The 13,418-nt window shown below is 42.1% G+C and overlaps 1 protein-coding gene across 11 annotated transcripts in view; it reads right to left on the bottom strand.

Moving 5' to 3' along the window:
- MYO3B (myosin IIIB) overlaps nucleotides 1-13,418 on the bottom strand; it is a 477,021-nt gene that overhangs the window by 133,146 nt on the left and 330,457 nt on the right. For all 11 annotated transcript variants that reach the window (NR_045682.2, NR_045683.2, NR_045684.2 and 8 more), the window contains 2 exons: nucleotides 7,000-7,101; nucleotides 2,482-2,584 (listed from right to left, as the gene is read on the bottom strand). Coding sequence is in view for 8 of the 11 variants with exons in the window: in NM_138995.5 (NP_620482.3) it covers nucleotides 2,482-2,584; nucleotides 7,000-7,101 (205 nt within the window). In the remaining 3 variants the exon portion in view is untranslated. The remainder of the gene's footprint in view (nucleotides 1-2,481; nucleotides 2,585-6,999; nucleotides 7,102-13,418) is intronic.

The raw sequence follows: 13,418 nt of genomic DNA, 5'->3' as shown, positions 1-13,418 counted from the left end.
ACCTGAAGAAGGCAATACTACAGATACCCTTGGAAGAGGGCTCTTCAAGGAAAGCACGCATGGCCCATGGAACTAAATGCTGCAGAGTCTGATGAACATAAAGCTCTAGCAACTGGGAGCTGTGCTTCCCAAGAATAGTTTTAGGGACATTGTAGGGACACAAATCAGATTTCAGGATTAGGGAGAAAGGGGTTGGTTTAGTGAGGAAATGAGGCAGTGGACCTGGACAGCAGTTGGAGGAAGTCTGGTGGTAAAAGCAAAAAGAAGGAAGGACAGGCCAAGGGCAGGCTTTTTTTTAGTATGGGGGGAGGTATAAGCAAAATGGAAAGTGATAGCAGAGTGTAAAAGATGGGAAAGCAGGGGAGGTGCTACCTGATAGTGGTAGGGCCTGGATGGCAGGAACACTGCACAAGGCAGAGGATCTGGGGTCTGTGAGATGGGAGCAAAGGAAGGAAGGACAGCCGAAGATAAGGAGAGATTCTAAGGTGAAGAGAAGGGCGGTGGAAGAGCTCAGAGCACTGTCCTGGTGTTCTCAGTAAAGTCAGACCTCAGTTGAGATTGAGGAAGTCAGACTGGGGCTGAAGTTGTTTTCCAAACTGGTTCACTGACTTGCCCAAGGTCAAACAGTTGGAAAATGTTAGCTGGGATCAGAAACCAAGTCTTCCAACCAAGCTCAGTGATCTTTCTACCACATTAGAAATTGTAAACTTTGTTATTCTAATATGAGATATTAGGTCTTTTCCTAAAGTGCCCTTAAATGAGCTATTCTGACTTTTTAAGCAAGTAGTCTAAAGTACTTTACTTTAAAAGAAGCCCAATGACAATTTGAGACCACTGGGGGAGTATTAAGAATTTAATTTATCAAGTCTCAAAAATCTTAAGCGATCTCACAAAATAAAATAATAAAAAATAATTAAAATTTTGTTTAAAATTGTAAATTAAGACTTTCTCTTTTCCAGGTGAAAAGATGCAAAGAACTCTCTAATGACCTGCTTCTTTCTTGAAATCTTTGACTAAAACTTTTAAGGAAGTTCCCCATAATCAATGTGGAAGAAAATAAGAAAGGTGAGTTTCATTCTATTAGGCCTTCCCTTTGCCATGGTCCACTCCTTCCTGTAGCTGTGTCCTCCTCCTGGTGACATACATGATGGGTTCTGGAAACCTTATCTGAGAGAAGGCACATTATAAAGGCTTCCGTGAAGAACAGGCCTAGGAGCTGTTTGTGTCTTTAGCTCTTGGTGTCATGCCTGGCCTGGCTGGACTTAAAGTGTCTTGAGCCTACATTTAGCCAGGGTATCGGGCCCTGCAGCTTGAGCAGCTCAGAGGTCACTGAAAGGCAAGCTCTGCTATACTCCTTTTGAATTATATTTAACTCAAACCTGTGGCTAAACAGGAAATGATACTCCCTTTTTGCTTTAGCTTAAATCTAGGGTTTTTCTAGAAGCTCATCATTTTTCTACTCAAATGAGATAATATATATATCTCCCCCAAATGAGATTATATATATATGTGTGTGTGTGTATATATGTGTGTATATATATATGTGTATATATATGTGTGTGTATATATATATGTGTATATATATACATATTTTAATATGGAGACAGGGTCTAACTATATTTCCTAGGCTGGACTCAAATTCCTGGGCTAAAGTGATACTCCCACCTCAGCCTCCCAATTACCTGGGTCTCCAGGCACATACCACCATGCCTGGCTGTAGGTTTCTCAACTGTGGGACTACTGACATCTGAGGCTGGACAATTCTTTGCTGCGGGGAGGCTTTGTCCTACATTGCAGGAGGTTTAGCAGCATCACAGGCTTCTGCCCATTAGATGCCAACTGCACAACTCTTCCCTCCAAAGTTGTGACAAACAAAAATGTCTTCAGACATTGCTAAATATCCAGGGGGAGGATGTTTAACCTGATGACGCTAAGTATAGATTTAACCATGAAGAGAACCCAAAAAGTAGGGTTGTGTTCACGTTGCTCTGTAGAATAAAGACTTGGGAGAATCTGATGGAAACACTTTTTTTTTTTTTTTTTTTTTTTGAGACAGAGTCTTGCTGTGTTGCCCAGGCTGAAGTGCAGTGGCACAATCTTGGCTCACTGCAACCTCCACCTCCATGGTTCAAGTGATTCTCCTGCCTCAGCCTCCTGAGTAGCTGGGATTACAGGCACATGCCACCATGGCCAGCTCATTTTTGTATTTTTAGTAGAGGCGGGGTTTTGCCATGTGGGCCAGGCTAGTCTCAAACTCCTGACCTCAGGTGATCCACCCACCTCGGCCCCCACAAAGTGCTGGGATTACAGGCATGAGCCACCACGCCCAGCCCTGGAAACGCTTTTTGGTTCCACTCTCTCCAGTTCACCAAAATACCATAGTGGTAGAAATACTTGTTGCATTATCCATTACCATTTCATTATCCATTAGAATGGAGCACCTGAGTTTACAACAGGGAACTCTTAGCAGATAATGCTCACCCATTTTTCTCTGTGACAGCAGGAGAGTTGCTTGAAGTCTGTGTACGGCCATTGTTGGATTCTGCTTGTGAATGGCTCCTACGATGTACAGAGCCCCTGAGAACTGAGAGAAAAGAAAGGAGGGCTAAGCATATGTTCAGAAGTAGGTAGGGTTAGCTTTTGGTGCCCATCTACACTCTCTGCAGCCCTTCTCTCCCTGCCCTCATACCACTCCGTGACTTTCTATAGGTTTTTTTTCTAGGATATGTCATTAAAATTGAGCTGTTCTCGATTCCAGGTCTTGTTCCATGCTTGGTCTCAGTCAGCAAACTGTTTTCATGCTTATAGGAAAACAAGCTACCTCTCTCTGGCAATAGATATAAAGAGTGCACAGATTAGAGGCCCCAAGTGATTTGGGTCCCGGTAGAAGCAGTATACAACAGCTGGAACAACACTGTGCTAGACAGAGACAGCAGATCAGCTTCTAGTTCTGGCTAGGCTGCTTGCTGATGTGGATAGGGCAAGGAGCAAAATGTGATGATGTGGCTAGGATTAACTGTAAACAGGGAATAATTCCAGGAGTAACCTATTTCCACATTTTGATTGAGGACAGTTTATTGATGAGTTTCTCAACAATGAGGGTAACAAATACAATTCTTTCTTCCAGTGACCATGGCTAATCAATCACGGCCTTCTTTTCCACTGAACTTTAATTCAACCTGAAGTTCCTTCTTAACACTTCACATCAGTGGTTGTCAAAGTGTGGCCCAACAAGTAGCATCAACATCACCTGGAAACTTACTAGAAATGAACATTCTTGGGCCCAACTTCGGACTTAGTGAATCAGAGACTCTGCAGGTAGGGTCTGGCAATCTGTGTTTTTATCAAGCTGTCCAGGTGACCTTGATCCATGTTAAATTTTGAGAGACACTGCTTCCAGATCAGTGAGTCTTACTCCTGGCTGTACATTAGAAACACCCAGGAAGATTTTAAACATGCCTAGGACCAGCCCCTAGACATTCTGATATTGATCTGGGATGGGAACTGCCATCAATTATTAAAAGCTCCCTAGACAATTTTAATATGTGGCCAGGGCTGAGAACCACTGTTCCAAGTAGTCACTACCCATCAGTTAGGGTTGGAAGGAGACTGCACACCTATTTGCCATCCTTATTTTAGATAACCTAGAACCATCCAAACTGAAAAGTAACCAACAAAGATAATCTATAAATTTGGGAATTGTGACTTACTGTGGAAGATGCATAAATGGTTGACATTATGATTACAGAATACATGATAGAAATGGAGTGTAGAAAAATAAATAAAAAGTATAGAAATCAGTTTTTTTTGTGTTGTCTGTTCTGGGAAGAACATGTGCTGATTTTAAATTGTCAGTTTGGTTCCTCAGCATAAATATTTCTTGTGTGGAATAAATGCAATTCTTTGAGCTAAGGTAATGGATAGAAAGATTTGTTGTTGTTGTTATTATTGCTACAAACACCAAAAGAGAAAAATTTAAGTGAGACATTAATACAATTTTTATTATTACACACACACACACACACACACACAAACATTATGGCCAAACAGTGAAACAACAATATTGAAAGAAGGAAAAAATAGAAATAAAGAAAAATAGCCACCACCTGTTAGAATTTCATTAACTAATTCCCTTCCCTTCCCCCACTGCCTTTTCTCCGTTGATAAAATCCTCTAGTTAGAGCACCAGGCAGGTTTTCCCCCCTCTTGGAGATTCTAAATCACTGTTTGGCCCACACTCACTTGCAATGCTGTGATAAGCAACATAAAAGCAAGAACTGACATAAAAACAAAAAAGGGGAACCCACTTCAGGGATACAAGTATCTTTCTGTTTCCCTGTTAAGAAGGAAAAATCACCACAAATAATTTTTAACCTTGTTCTCTGGCCCAAATCAGCAGCACCAAGAGCTACCACTGATCAAAGGCCAAATGATATTGCCCTTGTGGAAAGCTAAGATTGCAAGCTTTTGTCTGTACCTATTTTGAGATCCTCAGTTAAAAAACTAAAAATAATAAGGAGCAATAGCCATCCAAAGAAGAAAATAGCACAAAGAGATCTAGAAAAAAAAAACTGTAAAATCTCTTTTGGTTTGGGACTCTCCTTATGAAGGTGCCATGTCCAAGACCAGAACGAGAGGAAGCAATATCTTTACCTGGTTCAGCAAATGCCCCCAGCTACTTTGCTGGGGTTTCCATAGAATTTCTGTTCATGTAATTGAAGGGAAAACTTATTCCATGTTTCTTATTAATTTACACTTCAGTCATCAAAATATTGATTTTTAAGAGTTATTTGAAGTATAAAACCAGAAACTTACAGAATATTCTGAATAAAGCTTAGAAGGAATCTGCTCCTCCATCCCCCAGCTTTGCTGAAGAACAGGGAGAAGGATTTGGGTCAAACTAAAGAGATAAATAAGATTATCAAACCACTGAATTCAAGGCAGCATCCGAAATTGTCAAACAGTTTTCAGTATGAGCTGGTGACAGTTGGAATCACCTGGCTTCTCTCTGGCAAATGAATTGCTGAACAAGGACATTGGAGAAATGGAGATATGAAGGAAAAAAAAGAGAGAGAAGGTGACTCATTTTAAGTGTATGAATAGGTTGAGTTAAAAAAAAATTAGACCAGTGACATGGCTGAAAAATAAAATTATGAACTTAAATAGTAGAAATATTCATAAAATGCCGAACTTGGGGAATGTACAGGTGTGACAATAGAAGCTTCGCTAGAGATGGGTCACCTTTCATCAGGGAGGGTTCCTATGTGTTTCTGGTTTAATGAAGTAAAGCAATACTTGGAGTGGAGTTCTAGAGGAACTAAATCCTTCCAAAATCTGGTTGAGCTCTATAAGCCATTCACATTTTTTTTTTTTTTTTTTGAGACGGAGTCTGGCTCTGTTGCCCAGGCTGTAGTTCAGTGGCGCGATCTCGGCTCACTGCAAGCTCTGCCTCACGGGTTCACACCATTCTCCTGCCTCAGCCTCCCAAGCAGCTGGGACTACAGGTGCCTGCCGCCATGCCCGCCTAATTTTTTGTATTTTTAGTAGAGATGGGGTTTCATTGTGTGTTAGCCAGGATGGTCTGTATCTCCTGACCTCGTGATCTGCCCATCTCGGCCTCCCAAAGTGCTGGGATTACAGGCGTGAGCCACCGCGCCCATCTCTATCAGACTATTTTGAAGTAAGATGGAAAAGCATCTGCCTGTCAGAAAAAAAAAACAACAAAAAACACCAAGAACACCATTAGGAGGTGTTGCAAATGCCTTTGGGGGCACGTAGGAAGAAATATAAATGTGTGAAGTATCAGGCAAAGAGGATGGGGAATCGTGGGATTTGTGATGAACCAGAGAATTCACACCCCACTTAAAGACATTCAGGTTCAAAGTTTTTTAAAAAGCACTGTGTGTGGCCAAGCATAACACATCTTTGGAGGATCTCCTATTTGTGACTTCCTATACTGGAGGATCTCCTATTTGTGACTTCTAGGGGGAAACAGTGATCTGCACCCTCAGTCAGTAATAGCCAGACACCCTTCTTTTGAAAATGAAAACTTTCTCATTGTCTCCATCCCCAAGTCTCCTCAAGTTCAAGAAACACTGATGTTCTCCTGGATCCTGCTACTTCTCTTTTTCTCCTACTTTCTAACCTCCTTGCCCCAAGGTAAAGTTCCAGTTCAGTATTTCCTTGAAACAGACTGAGTGAGAGATACTAAAGGAGTCTGAGGTACCCAGAGACTCTCTGCCTACACACTGGGCAGTGGCGCTGGGGCTGGCAGATAAACTGTAACTGTAAATTCTACCACAAAATCTTCACTTGCCATCAAATGCAGGTGCTGGCATTAAAGACCATACTTCAAAAATCATAGCCTCTCAAGCAGAAGTCCAGGGACCTTCAAAATTCAAAAGGGTGAGACTGCAATATTTTAAAAATGTTTGAAAACCATGATTTAGTCCAATTGTCTCATGTTACCGTGACTGGAGCTTAGGGATATTAACTGGTGGAGGACTGAGAACCAGAAACCCACGTTTCCACTTCTTGTCCACAGTACCCCTTCCTTCCATGAATGTTCTCAATCAGTCTGAGATCTATATACCAGGTTCTGGATCATAGAAAGATCTTCCCAAGACACTAAACTTTCCTCAGTCTTAAGGTAAATCTGATACAAACATGTCAGAGTCTGCCTCAAGAGGACAGGTTAAGGCGAAGCCATTGGTAAGGAGAGCTGCAACTAGACCAGTGTTCCAGGGAACATGGAAGGAGGTGGAGGGGCAACTGTGAGGAACGGAGCTTATCCCCATCTATTCTATTCCCTTCTATGAAATCACCCTTCAGAGTCCTCTGCAAGGTTGGCCTTAAATTTAATTGGCTGTCACCTATAGAAAAAAGAAGGAGTGGTGGACAGAAGGTTCTTATATAAGAGGTGATCACTTCCAGCTTTGGAACCTTCTCCGGAATGCCCCTGAATTTAGAACACTCATTCTAAATCTCGAAAGACTCTACCTTTATGGTCACCAGGCTCGCTGCAGTCTTGAACCTCGGCACTTCCCCTCGTACCTGCTGCGACGGGGGAATGTGGCCCACTGCTTTGGTTTGAAGTGTCCCCTGTGGAATGAAACAAAAAGACTTTCTCAAGGTTATGCTCCCACACCTAGATGAATTACCAAACTGGGTGATACAAGTTGGCCAGGAAAATCCACACTTTTCTTACGGTTCAAGGCACCAAGGTGACTAATCTCACTTATGAACTTGGTGCTTATTTTTAAGATTTAATACAGTGTAGTTGAGAAAGGGCACAATAGTAGGAAACAGCAGAATTAATAATTGTTCTGGCCAGATTCTCTACTAGCTGGATGACATTGGGTAATTTGGGGAAACTGTGTCACTGATCACATTAGTCAAATAGGGAAACTCAGTGACAAACACAGGTCATGAGTGCACCAGGCTAGGATTCTTGGTTTGGTCACTGGATAGCTTTCCTGCTGTCTTTCAGTTGCCACTACCAGGGAAGTAAACAGAAGGGTGAGCTCTCTCCCAGGAAGCTGCTCCGTTTTCTCCTCCACATCTCTGCCTCTTGGAAGTGCCCCTCCCTTCCTGTGAACTCGCAGCCCTGATCATAGATTTTTATTATGCTGTCAGGGAGAAGATGGACTACATACTATATTCACTTGAGGAATATCACATTGCAGCTTCTCATTGTCCAGTCAGCTTACTTCCTTTTGGATTCCACAACATAATGGCTCTACCAGGGATTTTCCCAGCTGTCACATCTCTTCTTCCGTTCTCCATGACCTCAAGGTCACGAGCGGCTGAAGATGTTCCAACATCTTTTACCTCAGATATCTGGAGAAGGCAGGTTCTTTCCATTGGATCTCCTGACTTTAGACAGAAACTACACTGGCAGCAGGACTGCCCCTCCTCACGGAGGAGATTTTTTCTGGTCCTGCCCCGAGGCAATAACCCTGTCCCCATCTCCTCTTTTCCTGGCCTCTTACCTACACCTTGTTCTCACTTCTTGCACCTTCCTTCTGGCTTTGGCAATTTCTATTTCCGGCAGCAGTGCTTCCAAATATACCACATTAGAATATTTGGTATCCCTGACCTTTCTCCTTTATTATTTGTTCAGATGTGATTTTTTAAAATCCTGTCTTTCTCCCTCCTTCTGGTTGACTCCTCCATCTCAGGCATCACCTTTCCACACCCAACTTGGTGTCACCCTTGTCTCTCCAATCCTTTCAAGTGGCCAAATAAACATTTCTAGCTGCCTCAAAGTAAATTAAAGAGACACAGGCCCTTCCTCCAAGGAGCTCACATTCGAATACAGAAAGTAAGAATAAGAAGAGATTAAAGATATGAAAGCACCTGAAACTTTTAAGGGGGTGTGTCAGTTTGACTAGTGATATCCCAAAATTCATGTCCATTCAGAACCTCAGAATGTGACTTTAGTTGGAAACAGGGTTTTTGCAGATGTAGTTAGTTAAAAATGAGGTCATACTGGATGAAGGTGGGTCCTAAAGCCAATGACTGGTGTCCTCATAAACAGGCCACGTGAAGACACAGAGAGACTCAGTGAGAACGCATATGGCAATGGAAACTGAGAGTGAAGTGATGGGTCTACAAACCAAGGAAGGCCAAGGATTGCCAGGAACCAACAGGAGACTGGAGAGAGACTTGGAACAGACTCTCCCTCAGAACCTCCAGTAGAAACCAATGTTGCTGACACCTTGATGGACTTCTAGCCTCTAGAACTGTGACAGAATAAGTTTCTGTTGTTTTCAGCTACACAGTTTGTGGTAATTTGTTATGGCAGCCCTAGGAATCTAATTTTGGGGTTGGGGAGTGGCATGACAGATGTTAAGTACTGAAATTAGAAGAAAGAGAAGGACAAGATCAAGCTGAACGGTAGGTACTTTCAGCTTGATTTGGCTGGGGTGTGCGGGGAAAAATTGGGTGGGAAGAAAAGCTCCATTATTTTTATTTAACAAACATTATCATACATATGGATTATTATGTTCCATGCATTGTTCTCAGCCCTTTGCAAACATTAACTCATTTAATGCTCATAGTAACCCTAAAAGAGAGCGACTACTTTATTCCCATTTTACAGCTGAGGAAATTGAGACAAGGGGAGGTTAAATGACTTGCCCAAAGTCACACAGCTGTAGACTGGCAGAGCCAGGATTTGAACCCAAGCACAAAATTTTTTCCTAAAGTCTGAACTCCTAAATATTACATGATGCAGGTCATTTATTTAAACATTTCAAAATAATAATCCCTATTCTCCTTTTTTTTCCCCCTTTATAAATGAAAGTAAAAAAATCAGACCTTTGTTACATTCTTTCATGTGCTTGGGCCTCTAATGGTCCCATAGATTAGCTGCTGCAGAAAGAGGCTCTGGCCTGGCCTGGCATTTAGTGACCCACCCAAAGGACAGATCAGGCATTGTTTCAGCAGAGACACTGTCCTGGTAGGTTTCCTGGTTGGTGATCTAGGCTGGGTAAACGTTCCTGCCCTCATAATGGGCCTGGCAAAGGGCACCCACTGTATCTGGCAGAGAAGGCTCATACGGATGAGGCACAAAAGCCCAGGCTTCCCCTCCTAACTGCTGCTGGCAGATTTTACAAGGAGCCAGTGTGGTTTCTGGCTTGGACTGACAGCTGGTCATCAGCCATCTTATCAGAATATAAAGGATAAAGAGGCCAACTTGTGGGAGGTCTGACAGGCAAATGCCACCAAAAGCAGCACCAAGAAAGTTGGATTCTTAAGGAATAGAATCTCATTGACACATTTTTTTTTTCTACAGCCCTATAAGAAATCCTGGCCTCTATCTCTACCACACAAAACAAGTCTAGTAATTTCAGGCCTCTGAAAGCATTTTCCACTTTGATTATCCAGTACTTAATTCCAGTCATTATCCCAGTTAAACTTTGAGTTCAAAGAAAATCTTCCCTGGTAAGTGTTTTCCCCAACCTGGAAGCCAAGGAGGGAAGTTTTCCATTATCCTAGAAATCAGTTTCTTGCTTGTCCTGAAACAGCATTGTCTGGGGAATTCCCCTTCCTTCTGATCATCTAGGGACCGTCAATCCATTATTTTCTGACTCCCACCAGCTTCAGGATTTCTTTCTTAAAATTTATGTCCTGCCTGCTTCTGGTAGCTTCATAGACTGCTTCTTGTGGCTGTGTTAAGTGGCCCAGTTTTGTATTCCTTTCAAGCCTGGGCCAGAGTGGTCAGTTTGATTCCATGTAAGACTGCTCCGTCTTGATGGGAAAAAATATTTTGTGGGTACCCCAAAAGAATCTAGCAGACTGTTCTGCACAGACAGGATGTTGAGAAAATGTTTAGAAGGAACGACAGCAAATAAGGATTAGGAAGTCTGGATTATATGAGATTTCCTAGCTTCTATCTGTAAAATGAAGCAAGATTCCTAGCCTACTTCTCAGGGTTACTATAATGATAATTACAGGAAGTAAGGTGTGTGAAAGTGCTTTGAATAGACTATAAATTGCTATGCAAAAGTATAAAATAACTATACCTGTCAGCTAATCAAAAAGAAAACAACTTCCACCTCTAGGATCATTCCTGCTCCTACAGTTCTGGTTTCCTGTGAAGCAAAGTTATTTACTTTACTATACATTTTACTCAAAAGGAAAATGCTCTAAGGCTGGGCGCGGTGGCTCACGCCTGTAATCCTAGCACTTTGGGAAGCCGAGGCAGGCGGATCACGAGGTCAGGAGATCGAGACCATCCTAGCTAACACGGTGAAACCCCGTCTCTACTAAAAATACAAAAAAAAAAAAATTAGCTGGGCGTGGTGGCGGGCGCCTGTAGTCCCAGCTACTTGGGAGTCTGAGGCAGGAGAATGGCATGAACCTGGGAGGCGGAGTTTGCAGTGAGCTGAGATCGCACCACTGCACTCCAGCCTAGGCGACAGAGTGAGACTCCGTCTCAAAAAAAAAAAAAAAACAAAAGGAAAATGCTCTAAATGTTTATAGCAGCTTTATTCATAATCACCAAGAACTGGAAACAATCCAATTGTCCTTCAGCTGGTAAATGAATAAAATTGTGGTACATCTATACACTGAAATTCTGCTCAGCAATGAAAATAAATGAACTACTAAAAAACGCAACACGCAGATGAATCTCAGAAGCATTATGCTAAGTGAAAAAAGCCAGACTCAAAAGTTTCACGCTGTATGACTCCATTTACAGTGTCAAGACTATAAGGACAAGACTCTGGAAGAGGTAAGACTATAGGACAGAAAACCCATTAGTGGTTATCAGGGGCTGAGGGTGAGGGGGGTGGATGTCAAGAAGGGCATAAGGGAACTTTTTGGAGTTCTTCTTTGTGCCTTCACATGGCATGTTTATAAGGACACCAGTCATTGGCTTCAGGACCCACCTTCATCCAGTATGACCTCATTTTTAATTAACTACATCTGCAAAAATCCTGTTTCCAACTAAAGTCACATTCTGAGGTTCTGAATGGACATGAATTTTGGGATATCACTAGTCAAACTGACACACCCCCCTTAAAAGTTTCAGGTGCTTTCATATCTTTAATCTCTTTTTATTCTTACTTTCTGTATTAGAATGCAAGCTCCTTGGAGGAAGGACCTGTGTCTCCTTGTTCTTTTTCTTGATTATGGAGGGGATCTAGTGTTCTCAAACTGAATTTTACTGTATGTAAATTATACTTAATAGACTTTTAAGAATTTACTAGAATTTTAAAAAATAAGGCCTCCTTTTCTTCAAACTGGATCTATTCCTAGAAAGCAGGATCCAATTTGCTTCTAATCCATCAGAGGAAAGAGTCTGATGGGGAGAGTCTTGCTGCTGATGAGGGACTTTTCACAACCATTTGCATCACTGACCATAGCTGGTTTTGACACTAAGCACTTGGCTCAAAGTCTATGAAATTAGCAGGCTCTAGTTACTTGTACATCTCAACTGTCACAACTTTATTGACGAGAATGGCTACCAGCTGTCACCCTTGCCTCTGCTTCTGTATTTGGTGATTCAGACTTCATGGCCACAGCAAATCAAACCGTGATCCTGCTATGGCTCATCGTGTTGAGGTTTGAACTCCCGGCCAAACGGCTGTCGTTCAGCTGTTAGGCTGCCCATCACCCGTCACTGTGGGTTAAACATGATAGGTACACCAAGATCTTCCAACTCTTCAGACATCTGAAAGGCAACTTGCTTTCCACACCAGAAGGCAACAAATCTGGTGATATTTAGCTCCTAGATTTTAGAATTTCTGGCTTTACAGAAGCAGGGTGACAATGGAACTTGCTATCTTTCAGAACAAGTTGCAAAAGGGCCTCAAACTAGTGAGGGGGACAAATGATGTCAGGAGCACACCTAAGTCTTAACAATTTTGAGCTTCCTGAAAATTTTATATACACAAATGAATCAAGGTTTCAGCATGAATGGAGCACAGCTCTTCACAAAAAACAAAAACAAAACCACTTGAAATCTCTTACATGTTATTGTTGTATTCTATTTTTTCCCTGTCAAATAAACAAGACGTAAGTTAAGACTTGGAAAATTCTTTTTACAAAGATTTTACTGTAATCTAATTTGAGATTTGACAGGTACTATTTTTCTCCAGAAATGAAAGAAATTGTTTCATCTTTTTGAAGTTATAGCATTTTGTTTTTGTTTTTTTGAGACAGGGTCTCACCGTGTCACCCAGATTGGAGTGCAGTGGTGCGATCTTGGCTCACTGCAACCTATGCCTCCTGGGTTCATGCAATCCTCCCTGCTCAGCCTCCCAAGTACCTGGGATTACAGGCATGCGCCACCATGTCCAGCTAATTTTTGTGTTTTTAGTAGAGACAGGATTTTGCCATGTTGGCCAGGCTGGTCTCAAACTCCTGACCTCAAGTGATCCACCCGCCTCGGCCTCCCAAAGTGCGGGGATTATATGCTTGAGCCACTGTGCCCGGCCTGAAGTTACAGCATTATTATGTCCTCCATAGAAGAGTATTTCACAGACTTTTTTCCCCCCCAGTGAAGTTGACATTTAGGAAGGGAGTACAGAGAGGGAAGTAACATTTCATTTAGTGAATACGTACCATGAGCCAGGTACTGTGCAGGATGCTTTGCATATATTACCTGCTATCATTTTCATAGCAGTCCTGAGGATTAGGCCTTAATGAGTCCCATTTTACAGCTGAGGAAACTAAGGCTCAGAAGTTAAGTACTTTTCCCCAAACTACATGGCAAATGGCAGCATAGCCATCATTTAACATTCATTGTTTGACTCTAAACTCCACATGCCTAGGACAGTATTTCAACTCTTTCCAAAGCTTTGACTGGTACCTTATTTCCAATGTGTCATATTCAAGATGGAAACCAATGGCAGGGCATGGTCTACTGAAAAGAGCACTGAGTGAAGGCTCTGAAGAGGGCTCTGAAA

The sequence above is a fragment of the Homo sapiens genome, chromosome 2, assembly GCF_000001405.40.
Source record: "Homo sapiens chromosome 2, GRCh38.p14 Primary Assembly".
In the NCBI taxonomy this organism is placed as follows: domain Eukaryota; kingdom Metazoa; phylum Chordata; class Mammalia; order Primates; family Hominidae; genus Homo; species Homo sapiens.
Note: the sequence above shows the minus strand (reverse complement) of the source record. Positions and strands in the feature narration are given on the sequence as shown.